Source organism: Homo sapiens, chromosome 19 (assembly GCF_000001405.40).
Source record: "Homo sapiens chromosome 19, GRCh38.p14 Primary Assembly".
NCBI lineage: Eukaryota > Metazoa > Chordata > Mammalia > Primates > Hominidae > Homo > Homo sapiens.
The window spans coordinates 2,179,435-2,192,547 of record NC_000019.10 but is presented as its reverse complement, the minus strand read 5'-3'; the positions used below and the strand labels follow the sequence as shown (position 1 = coordinate 2,192,547).

The following is a 13,113-nucleotide window of genomic DNA, read 5'->3' as shown; positions in this document are numbered from 1 at the left end:
GCGCGCGCCACCACACCCAACTGATTTTTGTACTTTTAGTAGAGGGAAAGTTTCACCATGTTGGCCAGGCTGGTCTCGAACTCCTGACCTCAGGAGCTCAGATCCGCCTGCTTTGGCCTCCCAAAGTGCTGGGATTACAGGCGTGAGCCACCACGTCCAGACGATACACATTCTTTTTATTGCATTTTTTAAATTTGAAAATAAATTTAAATAAATAAACAGAAGTGGGATCTTGCTATGCTGACCAGCCTGGTCTTGAACTCCTAGCCTCAAGTGACCCTCCCATCTCAGCCTTCCAAGTGCTAAGATGACAGGCGTGAGCTGCCACACCCAGTCTGTGCAAAGTCCTCTTGGTCCCTGCCCCTGGGGCCCCTTCCCCACGTCAAAGCCAGGACTGTGGAAAGGGGGCAGACGTGGGGCTCGCGTGCCTGCAGGCACAAGGTTCACATGTCCATCGAGGTCCAAGGAGCCCAGGGACAGCCTAGACACTGTGGAGAAGGGGCCTTCACTGTCTGACCCTTGGGTGGCCCCGTCAGCCCTGCAGCCTGGATGGGGTGGTCCTATCAAGAATTCGTCAGGCTACTGAGGCTGTTCGTGTACGGGCCGCTCATCTGTGCTTCAGCCAGGCCACGCTGCTGCTGAAGACACACCTAGGGCCTCGTTTCAAGGAGCCCCGCCCGTGGTTGAGAGGAGACGACACCTCACAAGCAGAGTCTGAGTGCAGGCAGAGGCTGAAAGAATGCCAGCAGGTGGGAGCCCCAACCTGGGAGGGGCAGGGCACGGCCCAGACGCAGGGGTGCCGAGGGAGACTGGGGATGCAGGGAGGGCGCGAGGGCCTCCGGGAGCCCAGGGACCTGGGGTCTTCCTCCGCGGGGGACCTTTCCAGCCGCTGTGGAGGGAGCAGGTGTGCCCAGGGAAGGACTGCGGCAGGCTGCAGCCGTGGGTGGGGCCCGGGCTGGGGCCCAGGCTAGCGAGTGGCAGCTTCTGGGAGCGAGCAGTAGAGGGTGCACAGGTCTAGCTCCCCAGCTGGTGGGAAGCAGGACGAAAGCAGAGTCTCCGGGCACCTGGGAGGATGGGCCTGGTCTGGGAGCCACTGGGTTCCTGCGATTTCTCCCCTCTGGGTGGAGCCCGGTCAGGGCTGGGGAAAGGAACGGCCCCACAGCGGGACAGAGGCGCTGGGAGAAGGAAGCACTGTCCACGCCAACGTCGCAAGTCCCTGATAAACTCTTCTCCAAGCAGGCATGGGGCAGGCACAGAGCGTGTGGCCTGGAAGTGCACAGGAGCCGGGCATGGCGGGCGACACTCACCGCTCCCCAAGTCCACAAACAGGTCGTCGTCGGTCATCTTGATCTCATCAATCATCTGGGCCACCAGGTCGAAGGAGGTCTCCCCGTACACCTCGGGGGAGAAGGGCTCGTAGTTGTTGAGCTTCTCGGGGTCGGTCACCGAGTGGTTGTAGACCTGCTGCAGGATATGGCGCAGGAGTCCAGTGGACGGCCGCGTGTTCAGCTTCATGGGCTGCGTGGTGCCCTTCCACTGCGGACGGAGGGTGGCCCGGCCATGTCACATAAACCTCACGGCCCAGCCCCTCCACCACCAAGACCCGGGACCTTTCCCAGCGGAAGCAGGGAGTCGGCTGCATGGCCTCTCGTCCCCCTGCAGGGTGGCTGCCGGGCTCCCAGGTCAGTTTCCAACCCAGCCCCATTTCCTACAAGCAGTAAAGCAGCATCCCCAGGGACAGGCCCCAACTCAGAGGGGTCCTAGGAGGCTCCACCTCCTGCCACGGGCCTCTCTCCCCACTGGCAAGACCACCAAAACCACACAGGCCACCAAGACCACCACCCCTCCTCTGGGCCAAGGCAGCAGGGTGGGGCGCTGACACCAAGGGACCCCCGTCAGGTGCCACGAGCCCCGTGAAAGCCCTGAGCCTACCACACCTCATCTGACTCGACTACGTGGGACCCCGCCTTCCTCCCCACCAGCTGCAGCAGGCTGAGGTGGTCCCCTCTCGCCCAGGCCAGCTCAGCTCTCAGGGGCCCACAGAGCTGCATGCATGAGGTTGAGGGGAAGCCAGAGCCGGGTGGCAGGCTGATGGGGCAGCCCAGCCCAGCCCAGTCCCACTCAGGAGGGCCAAGTGAGCCCATGCCACCCCCACCAGGGCTCCCTCCACAGCAAGACCTTCAAGAAAGAGCTCCCCTACCCCCATGCACCAGGGGCCCCCGGTGCTTTCTAGAACATGGGAAGCAGCACGTTCCCCTCCCTGCTACACCCCAGCTCACTGTGTGCCCCGTCCTCTGTGAGGAAAGCCTCACGAGACACAGCAGGACCGGGGTGCCCAAGGGTGCAGCCCAGGCCGGCATCCAGCCTGATGAAGGCAGGCGGTGTGGGGGAGGTCCAAGGGGGAAGGCCGGCATTCACACAGCCCGGGGAGGACAGGGACCCCGCCTCTGCTGGGACCTGCGGACACCAACCCAGGGCTGCAGAGGCGTGTGCAGACACCACAACCCTCAGGGCCCTGCCTCAGCACACAAACCACGGACGGCTCTGCTTTGGCACACGGCCACAGCACACAGCCCAGCCTCGGCAGCCCCCACACCACTCACCCACAGCCCATCGTCCCCCCACGCTGCACATTCCAATCCCCAGGGGCTCTAAGGGGAGCTCTGTGCCCCGAGGCGGTGACATAAGGGGTCTGGAGGGGTCCGGGAGCCTGGCACTACTAACCCCCTCTGGGCAGGGGCAAGCCACCTACCAGCTGGTGGATGCTGTCGATGGCACGGTTGTACTTGTCGCAGAGCCTCTGCATGCTCTCGAAGCTGAAAAAGGCAAGGGAAGGCCCTGGTCATGCGGGCAGGAGCCAGCCGCATGCATGGGAGGGGACAGCATGTGGATAAGGCAGGCTCCAAGGTGTGGTCCCTGCCTGGACAGCCACCAGCCAGCTGGCCAAGACCCTTCTGGCAGAAGCCTCGCTTTCCGCCCTGATGCAGGAGATTTCAGGTTTGACACACAAGCGAGGTGGCCGGCCGAGAGTCCGGTGCAGGGAAGCACTGAGCCCTGAGGCAGTCTGGACCTGCCCAGGCTCCCGCGCAAAGCCGAGGTCCACGTGTGCTGGAGGCGTGAGGAGAGAAAGAGGGCTCGAGGGGGACTGAGGCCAGCCCCCCAAGTGGGAAACCCTGGGGCCGGCCTTAGAGGGTCTTCCTTGCCCTGGCTGGGGACAGCCACCATCGCCAGAGGCAGGTGAACGGCTGGGGTCTCCCAGGGACCACCAGGCCTCTGCCCGGGCAGGTGCAGGAGGAGTGAGCACTGCAGAAAGGAAGATGCCTCACCCCCACCCACACTGCTCTGTGAGCGTGTCCTTCCAAAGCTCCAACTCATTCACACGTCAGCAGTGTGTCATGTCAGCAGTGTGTCACGTCAGCAGTGTGTCACGTCAGCAGTGTGTCATGTCAGACACGGCACAGCAGGGTCCACAGTGAGACTCAGTCCCCCCGCAGCAACTCTGCCCTCCTTGCCCTGGCCGCAAGGCAAACCCTCATTACCTAAGTGCCCACAACCCAACAGCATCGGGGCAGAGCCCACCAGAGGGCAGGGGGCACCTGTGCTCCAGGGAGTGCCCACTGTCTGTGGGGCACGTGAGCCACAAGAAACACCGGCCACGCGGCCCAGCCAGGCCTGGGCTCAGAGGGGCTTCCGGGGTGGGGGCAAGCCTGCTACGGGGTCTGCCTGGCCTAGTCTGTCCAGTCTCCACCTGGGATAACTTGCTCATCTTCCAAGTCTGTTGGACCCACTGGCAAAATGTGGACAACAGCGTCTGTCCCTCCACCTCAGAAGGTGTCCAGAGCAGAGCAAGAGACAGGAGGAGGAGGCGTACCTGTCCAGTGAACACTGTCACACACAGTGGCTCTCACCGGGGACCCCAGGAATGTGGCGAGGCAAGCAAGAGATGGAGGCAGGGACCCTGCTCGGCACCCTGCAGTGCCCAGGACGGCCCCTCCCAGAGAACAATCCGACTTCCACATCCCCAGCGCCGAGGGGGCCTGCACCTGTGCGGGTGGGGGGGGGGGGGGCGGCGGCTGGGGACTCTTTCCTCCGCCTCCGTCCTCCGCCACCTCCACGTGCACGCAAGCAGTTTCCTCCCAATGGCAACCCCAAGAGCCTGGCAGATGCTCCGAGACGTGGCTAAACAATCACACCCCTGCTCCCACCCCAGCCCCAGCCCCATGCTCTTCCTGCCCTGCCCTGGCCACCCTGAATTCACCTGGGCACTGCATGTGCCGAGGTTCACACTTCCCCTTCCTCATAGGAAAACCAGTGCTCCACAGGCCAAGTTCATGTTTTCCTTAACCAGCAGCTGCATAGGATAAAGCAAGAGAACTTAAGAGGAGCAAACACCAAGAACAAGAGCCTGCCGACAGCCCCGGGAGCACGGCCACACAGGACCTGGATCCTCCGGAGGACGAAGGACACGGGGGTGGAAGGAGCCCAGGTGGTGCAGAGGGCCAGCAGGCACCATGCGGGCCGGAGGAACCCACAGAGCCGGCCTGCTGCCTCCCGCCTTCCCCGCAGCTCCAGAGGAGCAGCCCTGGCCCTTCCTGTCTTTTCACTTCCCTTTTTTTTTTTTTTTCTGAGATGGAGTCTCGCTCTGTCACCCAGGCTGGAGTGCGGTGGCGCGATCTCAGCTCACTGCAAGCTCCGCCTCCCGGGTTCACACCATTCTCCTGCCTCAGCCTCCTGACTAACTGGGACTACAGGCACCCGCCACCACGCCCGGCTAATTTTTTGTATTTTTAGTAGAGACGGGGTTTCACTGTGCTAGCGAGGATGGTCTCGATCTCCTGACCTCGTGATCCATCCGCCTCGGCCTCCCAAAGTGCTGGGATTACAGGTGTGAGCCACGGTGCCCAGCCCCTGTGTTTCCACTTCTACACGCCGCCTTCAACCCTGACAACCAGACCTTCCCAAAATCACCTCTGCACGCTCCTGGGAAGAGACTCTTCCCTGGCAGGCTGTGCAAATGCAGGTGCTCAGAGGAGCTGGGGCTGTCCTTGGTCTGAAGCCCTAATGGCTCGGTCCCTCAGGTGGCCCTGCCAGCTCCAACGAAGACCCCCTGCCCAGCCTGTCCCTGATGTCCTTCCAGCCTTGGCTAAGCCCATCCCACGCGAAGAGGAAGGACGCCACACACCCACGTGGAGGGGCGCCGTGAGCACAGCGTCTGACACGCTCGCTGCTCAGAGCCAAGGCAGAAGCTGGCCACACACAAGTGAGGTGCCATAACTGCCCCAGGTTAATGTGAAAGGGCTCAGCCCGACAACACCCACTCATCCGAGGGGACTCTAGTTCCTAACAAAGCTCCTGATCCCTGGGAACTTCTAGGTGACAGGAGTGTCTTCTGTTGTAAGGAAGCGACTTGTGGGGGGCTCCTGGGTGAGGTAAAGCCCAAGCTGCGGTAAGAAGCTTAGAAAGAGGGGACTGGAGATGGAGGCAATCATCAAGCAAGTCTCCGAGAAGCCTCCGTGAAAACCCGAAAGCACAGGGTGCAGAGCTTTGGGGTTAGTGCTCCCCAACTCCACGGACACAGAGCTCTGTGCAGGGCCCTGCAGGCCCCTCCCTGTGGACCCTGCCATGCGGCTGTTGATCTGCACGCTGCATCACACTCTTCATACTAAACCAGGGAAGGGCCCAGCACACCATCACGCCCAATGAGGGGGGGTGGCGAGAGGCCCCGACATGCGAGGCAGGTGGCGTGAAATCCACAGCAGCAGGTCGGCACGCAGGACCCTGCCAGCAACACGCTTGTCTGCCTGTGGGGCACCAGGGTGCTGACCAGGGAATGGGCAGGGCTCGAGGGAGGGGCACAGGATCTCGAGGTTTACTGAGGCTGAGACCGCTGACCCCAGACAAGAGTCCCTCCCACATGCCAGTGAGGCCGGAGAGCCAGGTAAAGTGCAGCCGCGTGGCCCTCTGGGCTTGACTCTCTGTGGAGAGGGGCTCACCTAAGCTCACGACAGCACAGCCCTTGATGGAGGACTACTCTGTTGATTTCAGACTCAAGAGCTGAAAAAGGCATGAGCCTGGAATGTCTTCCTTGTCAAAGAAAAACAAAACACTTCCAAGCAAGCATTCCAGAGACAGCCCTGCCCCTCTCCACCCACAAGACCCTCCTCCGAGACCCAGGAGCTGCCAGGGCGAAATTGCTAACGCAGCCACAGGGCTGGAGACAGAGGGACTAACCAAACCCAGCTGAGATCTAAACAGAGCTGCCAAGCAGCCTAAGGCCGCCCAGGCCCTCCCAGCAGCCTCAGGCAGGAACGCGGACTTCTGGCCGTCAGCCGCCCGCTATAAAAAGAGCGATCACTAGCGCGGGCTGACTCCACACATGCCAATCCCACTTTCCACAACCGGAGTTTCCAATTCTGTCCGGCCTCTGACAGCCTTTGCCAAGAGTTGATAAACATTTCCTACCAAAATAACTTTATGGTGGCCACGGCCAACTCTAAAAGGAAATTTCAGATCAGCTTGCACCATCTAAGAAGAGCTAATTATAGGATGCGTCCTCCTGTCCTCCCCAAGAGCCGAGTCTGTCCTCGGAGCGGAGCGGCTGGACAGGACTCTGCTTACCTTTTGGTGTCATAGTCAATTAAAACGTAATTCTCCATAGCGAGCTTGAGATCCGGGATTTCTTCACAGACCCATCTGAAACACAGCAGCAGAAACGATCAGGAAGGGTTTGGTTTTTTTTGTTTTGTTTTGTGTTTTGTTTTTGTTTTTGTTTTTGTTTTGAGACGGAGTCTCACTCTGTTGCCCAGGCTGGAGTGCAGTGTCGTGATCTTGGCTCACTGCAAGCTCCGCCTCCTGGGTTCAAGCGATTCTCCTGCCTCAGCCTCCCAAGTAGCTGGGACTACAGGTGCCCACCACCACGCCTGGCTAATTTTTGTATTTTTAGTAGAGACCGGGTTAGGCCATTTTGGCAAGGCTGGTCTCAAACTCCTGACCTGAAGTGATCCGCCCACTTCAGCCTCCCACAGTGCTGGGATGACAGGTGTAAACAATCTTGAGTATTACCCCGCATGTTCTTAAACACTGCATCCTCTCCAACAGAAAACAAACATCCTTACCCCTCCACTCAAAGTGGAGAGAGAAGGGAGGCGTGACTTCAAAACGAAGGCTACGATGTTTACCACGAAGCTGTTACTGAATCACACAGGTATTACGTGGCTTCGAGGCCACACACCAGTGGCTCTGGGGACCTAAGTGAACTTATCTGCTACAGGGCTGGTCTAGGGACCCACTGGCCACATCAGAGCTCGAAAAGCAACTGACTGACTAGAAACTAAAGCCAACTGGTGCCGGGTGCGGTGGCTCACACCTGTAATCCCAGCACTCTGGGAGGCCGAGGTGGGCAGATCACGAGGTCAGGAGTTGGAGACCAGCCTGACCAACATGGAGAAACCCCGTCTCTACTAAAAATACAAAATACAAAAACACACTGGTGAATTCCATCAAACACTGACAAGACAAACACTAAACCTACAGAAACTTTCTCAGAGTTTTATGCAGCCAGCGTCATCTTGACACCAAAACCATAGAGACGCAAAGGGCTGGAAAGAAAGGACAAGAAAGGCAACAGCTGACCAACATCCCTGACCAACACACCCCACTATCCCTTAAAAACGTGAGGAAACCGCAGCGGCACCTCACAACCACACACAGCACCTCCTGGGGAGGAAAAGCTGCTTCACTCTAAAATTAGTCACTGCAATTCACCGAAGGAACAAGGACGGAGATCTGAGCAGCCCCGTGTGGGCGAGTACGGAAAGCCCACAGGACGGCATTCGGTGCCATCAGGACGGTACCCTCCAAGAGGCCAGAAATGGAAGGACACGCCTTCCGCTTGGAAAGGGCACGGGACCAGTCACTGAGCCGCTGTGACAGCAGCAGGCCCACCTTCCGCAGCCACCTGGCCTGCGGCTCTGCAGGAGGGGTCAGGGAGGGATGGGGGTTCGGCCTCTGCTCCCCAGTCCTCTTGACCTGCTAAGTCCAGCGGGCAGCTTCCCAGAACTCCGAGAGTAGCTTCATTGCCCCCTACCCCACGCCAAGTCCCCAGACTCCCCAACCAGCTGGCCAGGACCTGACCTCAGGTCCGGGTGCCCTCCAAGACCCTTCCACACTGAAAGACACAGCATCCTGTCAGAAGGGCTGTGGCATCCGCCCTCTGTGATTATTGGTGCCTCTCGTCACCCGTCCCCAGCATGGTCAACGCCTGCACACCTGGCCAACACCGGCAGGGGACCTCACAATGCAGATCATCAAAAGCCCCAGGCACCGAGCGAGGCCCCGAGAGCAACCCAAGCAAGGCCATCTGCAGTCACTTCTCATCACACTGTCCAGGAGGTTCCGGCCAGCGCAACTCGGCAAGAAAAACACTCAAAGCAGCAAGGAGCCTGAAAGGAGCGGCCGCACGGTCTTCACTCAGTCCCGTGGTTCTGCGCCACAGAGCGTGCTGAGGAATACGCGCGGACACCGCCAGAGCTCAGCAGGGGCATGGCCGATAGGCAAAAGGGAGCAGTCTTTACACATACTAGCAGCAAAGGATTGTCAAAATGCCACATAAAAAAGCACCAAAGGCCGGGCGTGGTGGCTCATGCCTATAATCCCAGTGCTTTGGGAGGCCGAGGCAGGCGGATCACGAGGTCAGGAGTTCGAGACCAGCCTGATCAACATGGTGAAACCCTGTCTCTACTAAAAACACAAAAATTTGCTGGGCATGGTGACGGGCGCCTCTAATCCCAGCTACTCGGGAGGCTGAGGAAGAAGAATCACTTGAACCCCGGAGACGGAGGCTGCAGGGAGCCGAGGATGCGCCACCACACTCCAGCCCGGGCAACAGAGTGAGACTCCGCCTTAAAAAAAAAAAAAAGCACTGAAGCAGGAATACCTGGGAGTGACACTGTTTAAACGCCCCTTTCCCCAAGCTGAACTGCAGGCTCAAACCAATTTCTAGAAAAAGCCCAGCTAGCTTTTCTGGAGAAATGGAAAGGCTGATTCTCAACGGACATCCAAACGAGGAGAGCCTAGGACAGCCCAATCATCTTTAAACAACAGCCCTCCCCACACTTCGGGAGGCCGAGGCGGGTGGATCACTTGAGGCCAGGAGTTTGAGACCAGCCTGGCCAAGGTGGCAAAACCTCGCCTCTACTAAAAATACAAAAATTAGCTGGGCGTGGTTGCAGGCACCTGTAATCCCTGCTACTCGGGAGGCTGAGGCAGGAGAATTGCTTGAACCTGGGAGGTGGAAGTTGCAGTGAGCTGAGATGGCACCACTGCACCCCAGCCTGAGCAGCAGAGCCAGACGCTGACTCAAAAAAACAACACCACTGTGGGAGGACGTGCTTGGGACACTGGCCGTATGGGGACTGAATGGTGTTTGCTGTGTAAGAACGTCGTCGGTGTTTCTAGAGGAAGTGAGACAGAAAAGGTCTGTGCAGCCACACCGTGAGAACCCTGGCCACATGCTGGGGATGCACGGGAGAAAGCAGCCTCTCCAGGTGGTGGGGGTTCGAGTTTCGAGGTCTCTGCCTACGTCGCGGATGCCCAGGTGTTGGTGCACGCCCCTGTGCCTGGACCCTGCTCCCTACAACGCTTAAGCTCCAGACTCCAGATGCGCTCCCCAGAAAACACACAAGGTTCAAACAAGACAGTCAGCTCCGAGCCCTGCAGAAGGCGAGCATGCAGCCAGAGAGGCACTCTCACCGCCACTGCCTGAGATCCGGGGGCCTGGGGTCTCCTCTGACCCCAGAAGTCTGTGCAGGCCCCTTCCCATGGGGAGCAGGTGCAGCTCCCCTGCTGCTGAGCACCTCCAGACACACTAGCAAGCGCCTGGTCAGAGAGGGGCTTCCACCCCTGCTGCACCGAGATCCTAACCCAGAGAGACCACGTCTGGGCAGCACTGGCAGAACCTGCACAGTCACAGCCCCGGGAAGCCACAGCCCTGGAGCACTCTTTCTTGTTTGGGTTTTGTTTCTTGAGACAGGGTCTCACTCTGTTGCCTGGCTGGAGGGCGGTGGCACAATCACAGCGCCACTGGTCTCAAGTGATCCTCCCACCTCAGCCCCGCAAGTAGCTGGGACCACAGGTGTGCACCACCATGCCCAGCTAATTTTTTACTTTTTTGTAGACTTGGGGTCTCATTATGTTGCCCGGCCAATCTCCAGCTCCTGGATTCAAGTGATCAACCCTCCCAGCCTCTCAAAGCACTGGGATTCCAGGTGTGAGCCACCATGCCCAGCTGAGCATTATTTATTTATTTATTTATTTATTTTTGAGATGGAGTCTCACTCTTATCACCCAGGCTGCAGTGCAGTGGCACCATCTTGGGTCACTGCAACCTCCGCCCCCTGGGTTCAAGCTATTCTCCTGCCTCAGCCTCCAAAGTAGCTGGGACTATAGGCACCTGCTACCTCACCCGGCTAATTTTTGTGTTTTTTTTTAGTAGAGACAGGGTTTCCCCAAGGTGCCCAGGCCAGTCTCGAACTCCTGGCCTCAAGCGATCTCCCTGCCTTGGCCTTCCAAAGCGCTGGGATTATAGGCGTGAGCCACCGTGCACAGCTTGAGCATTCTTAAAAAGACTGCCCGGCCCTCTGTGAGGAGCACCCACAGAGGCCCACGCCAGCAGAGTCTTGGCCCCCAGCTGCAACAAGAGAAACCCAGGCAGAGAGAGGCGGCTGGCCGCCAGAAGCATGCTGCAGCTGGGCTGGGGCTGGGGCTGGGGCTGGGGCTGGGGCTGGTGCTGGGCGGGGGCTGGGCTGGGGTCCAGCTGCCTGATCCAGAGCCCTCCCTCCAACCATAACACCAGACTTCTTTTACAAAGAACAGAGGGGCCCCTACTCCACTGCCTGGTCCACGGATCATGACATTAAAAAAAAGCAGATCCCACATTCTAAGCACGGACCCTGGGTCAGGCCCACCCTGGCCGACCTACACAAACGATTTCACTTAATCCTCAAACAACCTGGCCAGGGAGGTGCCGCTGGGCCCCAACACTGAACTACAGGGCCTCAGGAGCTAGGGGCCTGGCACAGAGCCACCCGGCCAAGAGGAGCTCAGCATGGCCCTTATGGCAGCTGCAGGCCTGGGCAGATGCTGGGCATGGGCACGGGCGGTGTCCTCACAGCCCAGTATGCTAAGGAACAGACCAGCAAGACGCCAGGGCCACATGGACACATGTGGCCTCCGTGCAGGTGCCACACAATGAGGGTTCTGACCCTGAGCACCTGAGACACGCAGAATGCCGGCCACCATGGGCAGCTTCCCAGTGGGCAGCAGAGAGGCACCCAGAGGGCCTCCCTGCACTGTTGCTGCAGATCCTGGAGCCCAGGCTGGAGCTTACGAGGACAGGACGGCCTCCGCCTCCTGCCCATCCAAGTCACCCCCAGAATGCTCCTCTCTGCACCCATGGGGCACAGACACAGGAGGCCGTCGAGGGCGCGTGAGGGTGAAGGTCGGCCCAAAACCCACAGCAGGGAGACTGACAAGGAGACAGAGGAAGGCAGGGCAACGCCCCTGGAGGACCCACTGGACACCCCAGCAGCTCAAGACTTCTGCACCCACTGGCCAGGAATGGAGCTGGGAGAAGCAGCTCTACCCGTCCCTGAGTCACCCCTGATCCGCTTCACAACACCTCCAGGAGTCCACCCCTGCAGGAGCCATCCCCACAACAGAATCTGCAGGGCACGGGTGTCCACGGAAGTGGCTCAGGGCTGTGAAGACAACACACTGCAGGCCGTGCACTCACCGGATGGTCTCGATGATTTCATGAGCAGCATCGTGATGTTTATCCTGAAACAGAGAGAGAAGTTTGAGACGCAGAGCCATCCTCCACCCCGTGAGCCCATCGCTCTCTTCCCGGACAAGCGATGCCGTCAACTTCCCATCTCTTCATTTCCCAACTGGTGCAGCTCCCAAGCCCACCACCCAGCGGGTACCACCAGAGACACTCCCAGACCCTGGACCACGAAGGGAACACAGACCTTGCCGGGGACCTATTCTGGCACGCTGTGTCCTACTACAGGCAGCGAGCAGGCAGCGGCCTGGGATGGAGTCTATGGCCCCCGGTCCTGCTCCTCTCCCACCCTAAAGCAAACGGCCGCCCCAAGCTCCGCTCCACATGTCTCCCCATTTTTTCCCTGGAGGTCAGTTGATCCCTCAACACAGCCCAAGTCCCTCAGACCGCGCTCCGCAGGCCCACCGGGAATTCTCCCGACGCTGCTCCAGCCAGGGAGCTCCAGCCTGGCTGGGAGTCCTGCGTTGGCAAAGGCCTGGTATGTGACCGCAGGTGATAGAGCCTCCACGGGGCCTGTTTCCCCAACTGTACCATGGGAAAAAAACCACTGGGCTAGCCCACGTGGGCGGCCTCGCCATAGCCCAGAACCTGCCACAACTAAAACCAAGGTCCTTGGCCTAACACAGATCCCTCCCCGTCCAGCACCCTGCCCTTCGCTCCCTCTACAAGGCCAATGTCAAAGGCAGGTTCACACCCAGCAGGGCCACCCAAGCCTCTCCGACTCCACACCCATCACCGAGAATCAGAGACCAAGTGCACGCCACCAGGACACGTGCACTTTCGTCGCGTCTGCGTGCTACTGTGCTGATATAAACCCACAACAGGCTGGGTGCAGGGAGCGAATCACTTGAGCCAGGAGTTCGAGGCCAGCCTGGGAAACAGCGAGAGCCCATGTCTTTTTTCTGTTTGTTTGTTTGTTTGTCGCCCAGGCTGGAGTGAAGTGGTGCAATCTCGGCTCACTGCAACCTCCACCTCCCAGGTTCAAGGGATTCTCCTGCCTCAGCCTCCCGAGTAGCTGGGATTACTGGCATGAGCCACCACGCCTGGCTAACTTTGTATTTTTGGTAGAGACAGGGTTTCTCCATGTTGATCAGGCTGGTCTCGAAATCCTTACCTCAGGTGATCCGCCCACCTCAGCCTCCCAAAGTATTGGGATTACAGGCCTGAGCCACCGTGCCCAGCCAGCCCATGTCTTTTTTATAAAAATGAACAATTTTTTTTTAAATCCCCAATAGGTAAACGCCAAAGCAATAAGAGTTGCAGACGCGATCCCC

At 59.2% G+C, this 13,113-nt stretch overlaps 1 protein-coding gene across 6 annotated transcripts in view, besides 3 other annotated features; it reads right to left on the bottom strand.

Annotated features, from left to right (window-relative positions):
• The window catches only part of DOT1L (DOT1 like histone lysine methyltransferase), a 68,646-nt gene that overhangs the window by 40,031 nt on the left and 15,502 nt on the right, over positions 1 to 13,113 (bottom strand). For 5 of the 6 annotated variants that reach the window (NM_001411141.1, NM_032482.3, XM_011528359.3 and 2 more), the window contains exons 2-5: positions 11,792 to 11,835; positions 6,619 to 6,693; positions 2,753 to 2,816; positions 1,308 to 1,536 (exon numbers count right to left, since the gene is read on the bottom strand). In NM_001411141.1, coding sequence (NP_001398070.1) covers positions 1,308 to 1,536; positions 2,753 to 2,816; positions 6,619 to 6,693; positions 11,792 to 11,835 — 412 coding nt within the window. Of the gene's footprint in view, positions 1 to 1,307; positions 1,537 to 2,752; positions 2,817 to 4,258; positions 4,352 to 6,618; positions 6,694 to 11,791; positions 11,836 to 13,113 lie in introns of all 6 variants that reach the window. The other variant, XM_047439514.1, reaches the window with a different exon arrangement.
• Positions 9,363 to 9,452: an enhancer, noted in NCBI's record as "active region_13665". NCBI's record gives its function as "activates an Ori minimal core promoter by ATAC-STARR-seq in GM12878 lymphoblastoid cells {active_cell/tissue: GM12878}" and the evidence as "EXISTENCE:reporter gene assay evidence [ECO:0000049][PMID:35858748]".
• Positions 9,643 to 9,802: an enhancer, noted in NCBI's record as "active region_13664". NCBI's record gives its function as "activates an Ori minimal core promoter by ATAC-STARR-seq in GM12878 lymphoblastoid cells {active_cell/tissue: GM12878}" and the evidence as "EXISTENCE:reporter gene assay evidence [ECO:0000049][PMID:35858748]".
• Positions 11,275 to 11,858: an enhancer, noted in NCBI's record as "H3K4me1 hESC enhancer chr19:2180689-2181272 (GRCh37/hg19 assembly coordinates)". NCBI's record gives its function as "activates a minimal SCP1, AML or CMV promoter by ChIP-STARR-seq in primed H9 embryonic stem cells {active_cell/tissue: H9 hESC(primed)}" and the evidence as "EXISTENCE:reporter gene assay evidence [ECO:0000049][PMID:30033119]".